Source organism: Homo sapiens, chromosome 14, assembly GCF_000001405.40.
Source record: "Homo sapiens chromosome 14, GRCh38.p14 Primary Assembly".
NCBI lineage: Eukaryota > Metazoa > Chordata > Mammalia > Primates > Hominidae > Homo > Homo sapiens.
In genome coordinates, this window is record NC_000014.9 from 94051951 (window position 1) to 94067471 (window position 15521).

General features: G+C 44.9%; 1 protein-coding gene across 1 annotated transcript in view, besides 2 other annotated features; it reads right to left on the minus strand.

Moving 5' to 3' along the window:
- DDX24 (DEAD-box helicase 24) overlaps positions 1 to 15521 on the minus strand; it is a 32916-nt gene that overhangs the window by 3664 nt on the left and 13731 nt on the right. The window contains exons 3-8 of the mRNA NM_020414.4: positions 10147 to 10671; positions 8963 to 9116; positions 8148 to 8663; positions 5872 to 5947; positions 3046 to 3234; positions 1048 to 1177 (exon numbers count right to left, since the gene is read on the minus strand). Coding sequence (NP_065147.1) covers positions 1048 to 1177; positions 3046 to 3234; positions 5872 to 5947; positions 8148 to 8663; positions 8963 to 9116; positions 10147 to 10671 — 1590 coding nt within the window. The remainder of the gene's footprint in view (positions 1 to 1047; positions 1178 to 3045; positions 3235 to 5871; positions 5948 to 8147; positions 8664 to 8962; positions 9117 to 10146; positions 10672 to 15521) is intronic.
- Positions 454 to 1383: an enhancer, noted in NCBI's record as "NANOG-H3K27ac-H3K4me1 hESC enhancer chr14:94518750-94519679 (GRCh37/hg19 assembly coordinates)". NCBI's record gives its function as "activates a minimal SCP1, AML or CMV promoter by ChIP-STARR-seq in naive H9 embryonic stem cells {active_cell/tissue: H9 hESC(naive)}" and the evidence as "EXISTENCE:reporter gene assay evidence [ECO:0000049][PMID:30033119]".
- Positions 8215 to 9414: an enhancer, noted in NCBI's record as "CDK7 strongly-dependent group 2 enhancer chr14:94526511-94527710 (GRCh37/hg19 assembly coordinates)". NCBI's record gives its function as "activates an origin of replication core promoter dependent on BRD2, BRD4, P300/CBP, MED14 and CDK7 cofactors, with strong dependence on CDK7, by STARR-seq in HCT116 cells {active_cell/tissue: HCT116}" and the evidence as "EXISTENCE:reporter gene assay evidence [ECO:0000049][PMID:35650434]".

A 15521-nucleotide genomic window follows, 5' to 3' on the forward strand; every position in this document is an offset into this window, starting at 1 on the left:
TGCTGTGACTGCACATGGAGAAGCTGGCAGAGCCAAAAGGTTCCACCTCAGTCTGTCCTCAGGAAGGGAAGCCAGGGCCTCCACATCTTCGGCCCAAGCCCCAACCCTGAGCCACCAGAAATAGCTCACTGTCATCAAGCCCACTGGTTTGGCTCCTGGCTTCCATGCTGAGCAGACAGCAGTTAAGTCTGCCTCTGAATTTGCTGACTTGGGCACCGAGGTGTCAACATCTCTGCTGAGCTGCATACTTGGTGGTGTGGAAGGAGCATGGAGTTCTAGATTTGGTTCTACCACTTTTTAGACCAGGAGTTTTCTCAAGCAGGGACCGGGCAGATTCATCCCTGAAGCCTCAGCCTGTGGTCACATATAGAGTAGCAGCTCTGGAAATGCCTTGTGACAGAGCTGTTTCCCTGCACAAACTGCCTCTGCTGTGGTATCTAGTTTCCATATGTAAAAGAAGAGTACTTCCTGCTGTGTTCATGTCATGAAAGTGGAGAAGATCAAATGAGATAATGGCATGGAAGTGCTTTGTCAGCTTGGAAGGCAGGTGTAGTAGGAACCATAATGACAAATAACTTAAAATGTAATACTTTCTATTTGCCAGGCAATGCTATAAGCACTTAACATTTTTTAACTCAATCAGTCTTCACAACAATCCCATGAAGTAGGTAGTTGACTACTTCCATTTTATGGAGGAGAAAGCTGAGAACACAACAGAGGTTAAATAACTTGACTCAGTCACATAGTTAAGGCAATGAGCCGGCATTCTAACACAGGCAGCCTGGCCAGAGAGCCTGCTCCCTTCCTCACTGTACTCCACTGCCTGTCCATGTAAGAGGAGGCAGCTGAGGGCACAAGACAGAGACAGAGGAAACAAAGACTGACCGAGGGCAGTAGGCTCACCTGGGACCAGGGCCTGTTAGCAAAGAGGGGGAAGGACGCCTTGCTGATTTTGACAAGACCCACAGTAGTAGAGATGGTTCCAACAAAGCAAAAGTTAAAGAGAGATTTCAACTTCCTCAATTCCCATCCCGCCCAAGGGCTTACCCTTATACATGTCTTCTTCCAGCTCAATCTCCAGGGCAGCTGCTGCCTGCTCAATCCAAGAGTTGTGCAGGCAAGCCTGGAAGTTCCGATACTCAGATTTCTCAATCTGTCGAGCTAAACGGATTCGCTCCTGGGGGGAAGTAACAGAAAATATTCATCTGAAATAGAGTTCAGGCCTCTGGGAAGCAAAGTCTCACTTGAGTTGTGTTTGTGTGTTTAAGGCAGGTATCACTCTGCTGCCCAGGCTGGAGAGCAGTGGCATGATCATGGCTCACTGCAGCCTCAACCTCCTTGGATCAAGCAATCCTCCCACCTCAGCCTCCCAAGCAGCTGGGAGGCACCACCATGCCTAGGTAATTTCTTTTTTTTTTTTTTTTTTTTTTTTTTTTTCGTAAAGACAGGGTCTCAACTGTGTTGTCTAGGCTGGTCTTGAACTCCTGTGCTCAAGCAATCTTTCCACTTCAGCCTCCTAAAGTGTTGGGATTACAGGCGTGAGCCACCGTGCCCAGCAAGTAGTGTTTTTAAAAAGCTCTTGAGCCGGGCATGGTGGCTCACACCTGTAATCCTAGCACTCTGGGAGGCCAAGGCGGGCGGATCACCTGAGGTCAGGAGTTCAAGACCAGCCTGACCAACATGGAGAAACCCCGTCTCTACTAAAAATACAAAATTAGCTGGGCATGGTGGCGCATGCCTGTAATCCCAGCTACTTGGGAGGCTGAGGCAGGAGAATCACTTGAACCCGGGAGGCGAAGGTTGTGGTGAGCCAAGATTGTGCCACTGCACTCCAGTCTGGGCAACATGAGCAAAGCTCCGTCTCAAAAAAAAATTAAAAATTAAAAATTAAAAATAAATAAATAAAAAGCTCTTGAGATCAGTGGTGAGATGCAGTTCAGTTCCTGTTGAAATGCATTTATTGCTTCCTGATAAAAGTCCAGTGGGCAACCATTACCCGTCTGTGTGTACACATCTAAACACAACTGCCAGCTTTCCCAACAATCAACCTGAACAGCCACATCCTTTGAAAACCCTTACTGGTTTGACTGCCAACCTATAGGTAACCAAAGTGAAGTCTTTACGCAGATGCCACAGCTTGCTTCCACAGCTGAGCTAAGATAAAACATTTCAACTCTCCCTCTAGAGGGTTTTGGGGTTACAGTGCAGTGGCAAAATGAGAAGGATCTTGTGATGTGGGGAAAGAAACCAAGGGAAGCCTGGGTGGCTCCTAATCCTCCTTACTAATGGGAATTCTCTATGATTTCCACTTTTCCATCCTTATCTCCACCCTATTTCCCCACACAGCTAATATTCCTTTTGAGCCAGAGAAGCCAACATTCCTTGAACTGTGCCATGGTTTTGCTCCCTCAATTCCTGGAATTCCACCTCCTCTGTACCCTTCCACATCTTTGCCAGCAGGAAGCTGGGATAGAACCTCTTCTCCTCCCAATGTAACCATATGCCCAGTAATTCCATACTGCTCCACTGTACCTGAACTTTATTCACAGCTGGCAAACCTCTGGGAAGGAGAACCCACCCCACTTTGGTCACTAATACAGTGTCCCATGGTAAGCGGCACCTACCTGGGGAATGCCTGCTGAGTTAAAACCCAAAAGACAGAATTTACTGGCACCTGCTCCAGGGATGTGCCAAACCTGTAGCATCTGCCTCAGCAGGAAACACTAACCACACTGTCTACAACCCTCTGACAGGATATCCAGACAGCCATGACCACTGCACTGTCTGGTGAGGAGGGGGGACTTCAGGGCCAGAGAAGGAAGAAATGGTTCAGGGAGAAAATGCCTCCCACCTTCAGTCACTCCCCTTTTCTCCCTTTTCCCAGGTATGTTGCTCTCAATCCTTTCTACAAGTCTCCTTGTTCAGCTGTTGGCAGAACCATTCCTTAGTTTTCAAGGGTTATGCTGCCAGAGTCCCACAGCAAGGTGCTCTGCAAGGGAGCAGCACAATCCCTTCATTAGCACTGGGGTTTTAACTGCTTTCTACCTTGACCACATCCATGTATTTTGTCTGCACGGGGAACAGTGGGATATCCTCATCTTTCTTGAGCGTTTTGTAAATCTTCTTAAAGTTGATCACATCCTCAGGCCCAATGAGCATCAGACTGAGGCCTTCATTGGTAGCTCGAGCAGTTCGACCACTTCGGTGGACATAAATCTCCGAGGTACGTGGGACCTGCCACAGGAAGAACTGGGAGATCAATACATGGCCACTGCCAAACACTGGTCCTCTCCTCAGGGCCACATCCCCAAACCAGACCCTCCTACCTCCCAGCCAGGCAGGTAGAAACTTCTGCAGCATTGTAGAGCAATCTAGCCCTCCTCTCTTAGTCCCACATTCAAAATGTTCCCAGGTTTAGCCCATTCACTGTGTAGGCTCTTCCCTCCCATGCCCCTGACCCTGGTTCAGGTCCTCAGGACCATGCAGCCAGACCACAGCAGTCACTTCTTATCCAGGATTTAAGCAGCCCAGCTCCACAGACCATGTTAATCCCTGGGTTATACGGTCTCTACTCCTATATATATTTTATCCATAGATAATGTGGCATGGTTGCTAACACACCCACTGAGCCCCTGGCACACACCATTAATCAAGCACAACAGTCTTCTCCACTGGGCCCAGATAACATCTAGGTATCCTTTTCAATACAGTACTTTAAGTAGCCACTATGAACTGTTCATAAGAGTTCTAGAAATGAGATTTGCCTTTCTTTACTTACAGGATAAAGGCCCAACTCTTCAACCTGACACTCAGCGCCTTTAGTGACTTGCCCTCAACTTACCCCTCCAGCCTCAGCAACTATTCCTTTCCCAACACATACCCTCTTCTCACTGTGAGCCAAGTGCCCCTGAACACTGCCCATTTCTTTGCTCCTTCCTTTAATGCCTCTATATGTCCAAATCCTCTTCACCCTTAAATGCCAGGCATGTTTTTAGAAAGTACTTTCCAACCTCCCAAACTAGAAGTTACCTCTCTCTTCCATTGTATTTTGTAATTTTCTAATACCTTCTGCCTTAAATTATGGCTGTGGTCATCTCACCTCCTCTGCTGGATCCAATACTTCTTAGGGGCTGGGACTGTATTTGATTCATCTTGACTCCACAAAGGTTGACCCAGCTCCTTCCCCAAAAAAGGGAAGACTATAGAGATTTGCTAAACCAAAATTAGCACCTGTGATACAGTGAAATATGTATTTGCTCTTCATCCTGTTTCCTGGCAAAGGAATCTCAAAAGTAATGTCTTTTTGTATACTAATGACAAACTATTGACTGATGGCTGATAGCCCCCCAGGTAGTTTCAGGATGGGGGCTGGTCACCAGAAAGGCCAAGGCAGGATTAGAAGGTTGGGACTTGCAGCACTACTTCCTAAAGGCCAATGGCTTAATTAATCATCTTACCCAATGAAGTCTCCATAAATATTCCTAAAGGACAGAGTTTGGAGAACTTTTGAATAAGCTGAATATGTGGACATTCCTGGAGGGTGGTGTACCCAGGAGGGGCATGGCAACTCCATGCTCCTTCCCCTGTACCTCAGCCTATACATCTCCCCATCTATATTCTTTGTAATATCCTCTATAATAAACTGGTAAATGTGTTTCTTTTAGTTCTGAGAGCTGCTGTAGCAAATTAATTGAACCCAAAGCGGGGGGTCATGAGAACCCCAACTTGAAGCTGGTTGGTCAGAAGTTCCAGAGGCCCTGACTTATCGACTGGTTGCGGGGAGGAGGGACATCTTGTGGGATCTGAGGCTATCTCCAGGAAGACAGCATCAGAAAATGAAACTAAATTAGAGGACACCCAGCTGGTGGCTGCTGCTTGATATGTGGTGAAAAACGCCCACACATTTGGTTACAGAAGTCTTCTATGTTGATTGTTGTTGTGAAGTGAGAGAATGGGAAAAAGCACTGTGAGTTTGTTGTTTCTCTGAAACAGCAGCCTAAAAGATTTTTAAAAGCACAAAGAGGAATTAAAGAGGAAAAATGATAATGCCATACCAGCTACCATTTATTGAGTACTTACACTGTGCTACCGGCTTCATCAGCATCAGCTCAATTTAATTCTCAGGATAACCCTATGGGGTAGCTAGTTGTTACTTCCAGTTTACAAACAATGACACTGAAACCAGAGGTACTAAATAACTTGCCTAAAGCTAACCAACTATGAAGCAGCAGACTGGGGATTCAAAGCCTGGCAGTCTGGCTCCGGTGCCCATACTCCTAACCAAAATTTTATGCTGATATTCACTAGATGCACACACTAATATTACTGCTACTATCAATGGCAGTTAACATGAGTAAGTGCTTGCAATGTGCCAGGTGGCTTCTTAAGCTCTTTATACTTAGTAACTTATTTTACCTCAGTAAGAACCCTAAGAAGCAGGTACTCACTGCCATTTAATACATGAGAAAACTGAGATACAGAGAGATTACATGACTTGTTCAAGGTTACACAGCTGGGATTTGAGCCCAGAGAGATCTAAACTACCACACTCTTCTATTAATACTTCTCTACATCAGGGTAACCAATTACATGCTTAACTTATGCCCATTTCACAGAAAAAACTAAGACTCTAACCTGACAATATCAAGTAGCTTGGAGAGAAGGGCTACTTGACATGAGACAAAGCAAGGTTTTCTGGAGACCAAATCTCAGCAGTGTTGCAAAAGTGGGAGTAGTGGGCACTCGATGCCAGTGGTATTCTCTGATGCAAGAGCCTTGGAACCAACAATTCCTCCTCCCTCCCCCAACCTTTGCCTTAAAAATTCCCCATTCAGTGCAGGCAGATGCCTATAAATTTTCAGATGCCCCTACCTGGTAATGGATGACATGCTGGACTTTAGGAATATCCAGACCCCGAGCTGCCACATCTGTTGCCAAGAGAACACAGCTGGGGTAGAGAGAGAAAGCTTATTAATAATAACTAACAGCTATCTTTAATCAAATTCTTACCAACTGCTGAGCATCCTAAACATTACAGTCCTTACCAATACTCTGTAAGATATCACTTGTATACCCTTTTACAGAAAAACTGAGGCTCGGAGAGATTAACTTCCCAAGCTATCTACATGGCTATTCAGCTGTGGAGTCTGGATCCAAATTTGGGACTCATTGACCCCAACCAACATGCCATACTCTGCAATGATAAAGACTCCCTTCAGTGAGTTAAATGAGGCCATACATATTCTGGGTCAGTGACTCCTCTCCTAGCACCCTCTCATTTACTTCCTCCCAGTGGCACACAGACTTCCTTGCTCTTCCCCAAACAAACCAAGCATGCTCTCACCTCCAAGCCTTTGCACTTGCTACTCCTTAAGGCCTTAAAGGGTCTTGCCTCAGATGTCCATATGACTCACTTCATTACTTTCTTCAGCTCTCTGCTCAATTCTCACTTCATCAGAGACTGACCACACATACCCAATCTCTTTTCTCCAACCCCTGCTCGACTTACTTCTTAGGATCACTTGGCAGACTGTGGGCTTACTTTGCAATTTATTATCTCCCTCTACTAGAATGTAAGCTTCATGAGAGCAAGGACTTTGCATTACTCACTGCTGTTATTACCACCACAGAGAACAACATCTGGTTCATGGTAAGCACTTGATAAATGTGTTGGATGATGTTTCTCAATGTGTGGTTCATGGAAAGTCAAAAGTACTTGAGGTGCTTCAAAACATAAGACTCTGGCCCTTCAGGGTCCTCACTCCCTGCATGTCTGAGCTGAGGCCGGGAAATGCAATGCAAATCCTAGTTTGTAAAACATTAAACTACTGCTCTGGATCAAGGTCAGCAAACTTTTTCTGTAAAGAGCCAGAGAGCATTTCCAGCTTTGTGAACCACACAGTCTCTATGGCAACTATTCAACTCTGCCGCAAAAGAGGATATTGACAATACATAAATGGGTCTTGCTGTGTTCCAGTAAAACGTCTACTAAAAAAACAGGCAGCAGCCAGGTGTGATGGCATGCACTGGTAGTCCTAGCTACTTAGGAGGCTAAGGTGGGATTGCTTGAGCCCGTGAGTTCAAGTCTAACCTGGGCAACATAGCAAGACCCCATCTTAGAAAAAAAAAGGGCAGCAAGCAAGATTTGGCACGAGGCCTATAGTTTGCCAAGCCTTGTTCTAAGCTAATCTCAGTAAACCACTGATACTACTTACCAATTTTTAAAAACCAGTAAATCAAACACTTGTTCTAGAAACTAATTACCCCATGACCTGACAAAACACTGGCAAAAGACACTTTGTAGTCTGCCTCAACTTTCCAGGCCCTCATCTTGACAATCTGCACCCCATTCCCTGAGCATCAGTCTGGTCCAAAGGCAGATGGACAAAGACATCAGGAATAAGAAATAGCATGGGCTCTGAGGTCCGACAGGCTTGTCTGAGGCCCAGCTCTACCACTTCCAGGCAGAGAAACCTTGGGCACACTGATCAGCTTTTCTAGACCTCATTTTTCCATCTATAAATGAGAATAGTGATAATGGTAATAAGTAGTAAAGGGACTAGAAATTATTAAAGCTAACATTTAGCAATATATACATACTATGTGCTAGAGACTGTTCTAAACACTTTACACGCATGAATTTACAATCAATCTTCATAACAACCCTAGAATGGGTTCTATTATTATCCAAATAATGAGAAAATTAAAGTACAGAGAAATTAAATAACTTGACCACCTAAGGAGTGACAGAACTAGGATTTGATTTCAGGCATTCTGGTTCCAGGATCTGTGCTCTTAACCATGAATCTATTCTGCTTCCTCTTAAGGATGTTAGGAGAGTAACTGAATGTGATTCTGAATCTAAAGTGCCAGCACAGGACCTAATCTATTGTCTATACATTCAATATTATGTATTGTCACCTATATTCATTAGTATTGAAGTTTCTGTATGGCATTTAACTGCAACCAAATTCACTAAATGACAGTAACCTTGCCAAATGCTGTGCAAAAAAAAAAAAAGGCTACCTACTACTGAGACAAGGCCCCTATGACAGAAGGTGGCTTTTCTACCATTTCCCCACCATCCTGACCCCTTTTACCCCAGTAACTAACTAGAGGTTAAGCCTCTGGGGACAGTCCTAACTTACTCTTCCAGACGGGCAAACTGCTCCAGGTTTCTGAGCCTCTGCTTCTGGTGCATACAGGCATGCAGGGTCAAGGGCATGATATCAAGGACTTTGAGGAGCCCAGAGAGGCGTTTGATGCAGGAGATACTGTTGGCAAACACTAAGCTGCGGCCTGGATACTGCATCAGGAAGTAGTACAAGTAGAAGTCTTTCTCATCAGTCTCACAATGGATCTTGGTCTCTGTTAGCGTCTCCACCGTGGCCTCATTCCTTGTGAGGTCAATGACCTTGGGCTTGCCCCTCATGCCAATTTTCTGCATAAGGAGGTCAAGTTTGGCTGTTTTATCCATTTTCTTGGTGTGCTTCTTATGAAGGATTCGAGCAGGAGCCTGATGCACCAGGGTGAGTGTGGCAGAAAAAACAAGCGTTTGTCTCTTTGGGTTGTATTGGGAGTCATTGAGCATCTCTAGCAGCTGTGAGAGCTCAGCAAAATGGCCTTTCTCAACCATCCGGTCAGCCTCATCCACTACCAGGCACCTGCAGATCCAGAGAGACCCATATCATTGGTCAGCAGCGGGTTAAGAGGAATCATCTATAGCACACCCTACACTCATCCTAAACACACACACACACACACGTACACACCCCACTACCACCACCACCATCAGGCCCTCAACTAATCTCCCTCATGCACTCTTGGCTTTCTAAAGGCCAGGGTCTGGATGATACCACACCATAGCATTCTGCGATGAGAAGAAGGCATTGCCCACACCATGTCACCTAAGGCTCATTTCAGAAAAGGCAGTGAGGGGGAAAAGAGAAGTGCCATCTATTACCTGAGCTGCCGAAGGTTCCTCAAATGATAATGCTTTTCTTTAATTAATTCCCACAGCCGGCCTGGAGTAGCAACCACAATCTCAGGACGACGGTTCAGCATCCTCTGCTGTTTCTGCGTGGACATTCCACCAACCAAAATAGCAGTTTTAATTCCTATGGGACAGAAAACATAAGGGACACTTATTCAATCTGGGTGATCATTTTCTTACATGGCTGACACAGGCACCCCAGATTAGCAGAGACAGACATCAGCACAGTGTAATGCCCTAGAGCATTGCTAAAAGAGCAGGCCTGGCCAGACTGTTGACGCCACTCCTAGAGGGCTTACCAAGTCTTCTGTGATCTGAGCTCTACTTCTTCAGCCTCATTTCTTTTCTACTCCCTCCCCTCCAACCACACCAAAGGGGCTGAATTTGAACCCAGGTATGCTTACCTCCAAAGCTCTGGGAAAACGGAGCACTGGGGCACCATAATGCTGGGAGGAATATGACCTGCAGCTGTGCTACACCTCTCCTAGGAAGCCCTTCCATTCCCTCAGTTAGAATTATTCTGAAAGGTCCACTAATGCCCTGTTGTTTTCGTCTCTGGTGCAGAAATTCTCATAGTATCATGTGGGTAAAGGGCTTAGCAATAGTAACAACTTGGTAATTAATTGCTGCTTTCATTATAAAATTAAGATTCCCAGAGTGAAGCCCTTCCCAGAGTGAATTCCCTGAGAGAATTAAATCCTAATAGCTTAGAGCAGGGATCAGCCAACTTTTTCTGAAAGGGTCACTAGTGAACATTACTGACCTCATAGGCCAGATGGTCTCTGTCACAACTATTAACTCTACTCAACTTCACCTTTGTAGTACAAAACCAACCACAGACAATATAAAACCAAATGGGTGTGGGTGTGTTCCGGCAAAACTTTATTTATAAAACCAGACAGTTTGCTAATCCCTGCCCTGAGCATCTACTGTATCCAATAAATTTCCTATGCATCCACAATGGCACCAACCATGTATTATCCTTGAGGGAACTGAAAAAATGTCACTATATCAATTTTCTGTAGGGCTTAATTGTCTGGCTTATAGATGAGAGTGGCTTACCCTAGAGGGCAGGAGCCACAGCTCATTCATCTTTACCAACGAGCATTTGGGATTTACCTAGAAAATATTTATTAAATGGAACTAAACCTCACCTGTAAACCTGGCCACAGCATCAATGTGCTGTTTGACCTGGACGGCCAGCTCTCGAGTGGGAGTCAGAACCAGTCCAAGCAGAGGACGCTTTGGATATGCCTTACAGGTGGCGCTTTTGTCATCCAACTCCTGTTTTAGATTTCCAGTCTGCTCTTTATCAAGATTTTCCTCCTCATTCTCATTCTGTTTGGGAACAGGTTTCTCCCTGATCAGGGAAGAAGGCCCTTCACCAGCATCATCGTCACCAAAGAGCAACGCCTGGTCTGAGACAGTGCCTCCAGTCTTGGCTCTGGCCTCGGCTGCAATATCACTGGGCAGTGCTTCACTCTCAATTACAGTATCGTCAGGCAATGCATCAGACTCAGCTTCAGCCTTGCCTGGTGATCTAGTCTCAGCTCCGGCCTCAGTTCTGGTCTCTCCAGGTGGTGCTTCGGTGTTACTTGGAGGAGGGGCAGCATTCCTCTTCTGCCACTGCAACACCGCATGAATCATTGGGATGGCAAAGGCAAGAGTTTTCCCACTTCCTTAAAAGTAAAAAAACAAAACAAAGTAAAAACAGTGTGAATCAACAGATGAACATACTTTAGTCTGGAATTCATTCTTTTGCATAGAATAAGGTAGCCAAGTGCCACCCTGACCGACCCAAAGCTCCTCCACTCTACACAGATTTCCCCAGAAGGAACCAGAAGGCACATGTAAATTAGAACCCGAGGAAAAGTATGGCAGGCTAGCACTGAGGTCTTAGGTCACCAGTAACGAATTACAAATGTCCAAGAAATGAAACAATAAAGAGAGAAAGGGCAAGTTTTGGGTGTATGTGTTGTTTCTGTGAGGAGCAGGAAACAGTAATCCATACAATACTTTCCCAAGACTTTTCTTTGGTGAGAAAGGAGTAAAAGAAAATTTTCTTAAGTTTTCAGAAAATGTAAATATAAAACTTTTGTCTATGCCTGAACATTTTCAAACTGGCCTTTGAATGTACACAGAGTCCAAATCATCTGGGTGGTCAAAACAAAACATCTCAGGCTGAGAATTTAAAGAAGTTCCAAAGTGATAATGCCCTAGGCAGAAGCCAATAAATGCTTTCTCAAGGGAGAAACCATTACCATACATCTCCAAAAATTTTCACAATTTTCAAAGGAAATAAGCAGCTCTCAGTAAAAAATAACCACACACACAAAAATAAGATACTATAAGGAAAAAAGAGAGCAAAAACAGACACATGAAACTTTTGATAAGAAGAACAGCAGACTTATCAGAAACAATGAAAAGCCAGAAGACAGTGTAGCAATATTTTTTATTTGAATGCCTAAAAATAAAACCCTGACAATCTATAACCCTACACCCACTCAAAACAAAATGTGAAATAAAGACTTTAGGCATATAAAAGCTGAAATAATTCACCAGCAGCAAATGTAAGCTATCAGAAATATTAGTCTTTCATGCAATAGCAAAGATAACATAAAATGAAAATCTGGATGTACCCAAAGAAATAAAGAGCAACCGAAACAGTAACTACGTAGGTAAATATTTAAAAACTTCTTTTTATGGCCAGGCATGGTGGCTCATGCCTGTAATCCCAACACTTGGGGAGGTCTAGGCGGGAGGATCAAGACCAGCCTGGGCAACATAGTGAGACTCCCATCTTTAAAAAAATTTGCCAGGCATGGTGGCACACTCCTGTAGTCTTCGAAACTTGGGAGGCTGAGGCAGGAGGATTGCTTGAGCATGGGAGTTTGAGGCTGCAGTGAGCCATGATCGTGCCACTGCACTCCAGCATGGGTGACAGAGGGAGATACTGTCTCTAAAAACAAACAAAAAAACAAAACCCCTTATTTTTCTTATTTAAACATCTTTAAAAATAATTGTTTAAAGCAAATATAATAAAAATGTATTCTAGAATCTCTAACACATATGAAGTATACAACAAAAAGCACAAAGGAGGGGAGAAATGGAAAATACTCTTGTAAGGTTCTTACATTGTATGCGAAGTAGTAAATTACTTGAGGGTAAACTATAATAAAAGATATATACTATAAACCCCAAAGCAATCACTAAAAAGACGTTAAGAATTATAGCTAATAAGACAACAAAAAAGATAAAATGGTATCTATGCATATATATGTATTATAGTCCCTGTCCCTAATTCTTGACACAGAGCTTCTAAGAGCCTTGTAACTTTCTCAGTGACAGGGGCATCTTTTGTTGAAATATTTGGTCTTAGTCCTCTGTTGCTGATATAAAACCTTGTGATACCTTAAAAATATCTGTAGTAGTAAGAGCATCTTTTTGCATGTTAATAAGATGACTAGTGGCTGGAGTCCCTAGACAGCTTCAGGATGGGGGATGGAACTTTCAGCTGCCTCTCCCCACCAACCTCCAGGGAGGGAAGAGGGACTGGAGACTGAGCTCAGTCACTAACAACCAATGATTTAATCAATTATCAATCATGCCTATGCAATGGAACCTCCACAAAATCTCTAAACGATGGAGTTCGGATAGATTCCAGGGTGGTGTACCCAGGGACCATGAAAACTCCATGCCCTACCTCTCCTGACTTCCAACCCCGCCCCATACCTTGCCCTAGTCATCTCATCCATCTGGCTGTTTCTCAGTTACATCTTTTATAATAAATTGTTAAATACAAGTAAAGTGTTTCCCTGAATTCTGTCAGGCATAGCAAAGTGCTGAACCTGAGGAAGGTGTTGTGGGAATACCCAATTTGTAGCCAAGCTGACCAGAAGTACCATTATTTGTGATTAGCATCATTAATGGGGGCAACCTTGTGGGACTGAGCCCTTAACCTGTAAGGAATGACACTAGCTCCAGGTAGATAGTGTCTGAATTGAACAGAATTGTAGGATAACCAGTTGGTGTCCACAGAGTTGCAGAGCTGGTTGTGAGTGTGGGAAAAACCCACACATTTGATGCCAAGAGTGTTCTGTGGGTAGAAAATCTTTTTTTTTTTTTTGAGACACAGTCTTGCTCTGTCGCCAGGCTGGAGTACAGTGGTACAATCTCAGCTCACTGCAACCTCCACCTCCAGGTTCAAGCGATTCTCCTGCCTCAGCCTCCCAAGTAGCTGGGACTACAGGCATCTGCCACCACACCCAAGTAACTTTTGATTTTTTTTTTTAGTAGAGATGCAGTTTCACCATGTTGGCCAGGATGGTCTCTATCTCTTCACCTCGTGATCCACCTGCCCTGGCCTCCCAAAGTGCTGGGATTACAGGTGTGAGCCACTGCACCCGGCGTATGGGTAGATCTTAATAGTATCTCTCTCTCTGACACACACACACACACACACAAATTCAGTGCCAAAGAAGGAAACAAAGAAGAGCTGGGACTAATAGAAAAGTAACAGATTTAAACCTAACCACTGATGCTGCTCCCGGGATCACTGCAGACAGGAGGGAGGACTAGATTGCAACTCCTGAAAGAGCAGCAAGGGGAGGCTTGCATTGTGAGTTTTAGCTCCAGATTGACTGCAAGAACAAACCAGTAATCCTGAGAGGAACCACAGACCCTCTGAAGGAACTGGACTGCTCCAGCAGGACCCAGGAGACCCCCAAATACCGTGAGTGCCCCAACTGTGGAGAGGAGGGAGGCTCTCCTCTCCCAAACACACACCCCCACTAGAGAAGGTGAAGGTCTGTTTGCAGGAGAAGTTTCTGACTTTACCTGGAGCTGAGTCAAGTTAGAGAGCTGAGCGAAATACAGGGGTAGAAGAAGCAGCAGAAAGGCCCTGGGAGCTCGCTGGGTCCCCAAGCAGCCCATTCCTGCCTGGCACCACAGGGATCCACTGGGAGGGTGGCCACAGGAGCTGGGGGCAAAACTCCACAGAAAGAAGGCATTCTCTAGCCAAATTCTGTAACAATTTGATTTAACAATCTGAACAGGACCAGAAGCCTCCTGGCCAGAACTCGGGGGAGGGCACGAATCCAGACTTCACAGGTAGGGGAAGAACTAAAGCCCCTTTTCTTTCAGAGCTGGGAAGCAGATAACCTTGGGCAAGTTTTCAAGCCCTCCTCCCGGAAACAGACTGGGGCTGTTGGGGAGGACACGGTGGGAGTAAGACTGCCCTTCGGTTTGTGAGGGAGCTGGGTGAGGCCCATGACTGCTGGCTTTCCCCCATTTCCCTGACAACCTGCATGACTCACCAGAGGCAGCCATAATCCTCCTAGGTACACAACTCCAGTGACCTGGGAATCTAACCCCCATCCCCCACAACACCCACAACAAGACCCACCCAAGGAGAGTCAGAGCAGGCGTAGACCTGCCCCCACATGATGGTCCTTCCCTATCCACCCTGGTAGCAGAAGACAAAGGGCATATAATCTTGGGAGTTCTAGGGCCCTACCCACTGCTGGTCCCTCTCCATACTATAGCTGATGCTTTCTGGAAAGTGCCACCTCCTGGCAGGAGGCCAACTAACACAAAAACAGAGCATTAAACTACCAAAGCTAAGCACCCTCACAGAGTCCAACACACCCTCAGCCATCTCCACCGGAACAGGCGCTGGTATCCGTGGCTGAGAGCCCCATAGACGGTTAACATCACAGGACTCTGTGCAGACAACTCCCAGTACCAGCCCAGAGCCGGGTAGATTTGCTGGGTGGCTAGACCCAGAAGACAGACAACAATCACTGCAGTTTGGCTCACAGGAAGCCACATCCATAGGAAAAGGGGGAGTACTACATCAAGGGAACACTCCATGAGACAAAAGAATCTGAACAACAGCCTTCAGCCCTAGACCTTCCCTCTGAAACAGCCTACCCAAATGAGAAGGAACCAGAAAACCAACCCTGGTAATATGACAAAACAAGGCTCTTCAACAGCCCCCAACAAAAAATCATACTAGTTCACCAGCAATGGATCCAAACCAAGAAGAAATCCCTGATTTACCTGAAAGAGAATTCAGGAGGTTAGTTATTAAGCTAATCAGGGAGGGACCAGAGAAAGATAAAGTCTCAATGCAAGGAAATCCAAAAAATGATACAAGAAGTGGAGGGAGAAATATTAAAGGAAATACATAAAGAGAAAACAATAAAAAATTCAGGAAACTCTAGACATACTTTTAGAAATGTGAAATGCTGGGGAAAGTCTCAGCAATAGAACTGAACAAGTAGAAGAAAGAAATTCAGAGCTCAAAGACAAGATCTTCAAATTAACCCAATCCAAGAAAGACAAAGAAAAAAGAATAAGAAAAAATGAACAAAGGCTCTAAGAAGTCTGGGATTATGTTAAATGACCAAACCTAATAATCGGTGTACCTGAGGAAGGAGAGAATGCTAAAAGCTTGGAAAACATATTTGGAGGAATAATTGAGGAAAACTTCTCCAGCCTTGCTAGAGACCTAGATATCCAAATACAA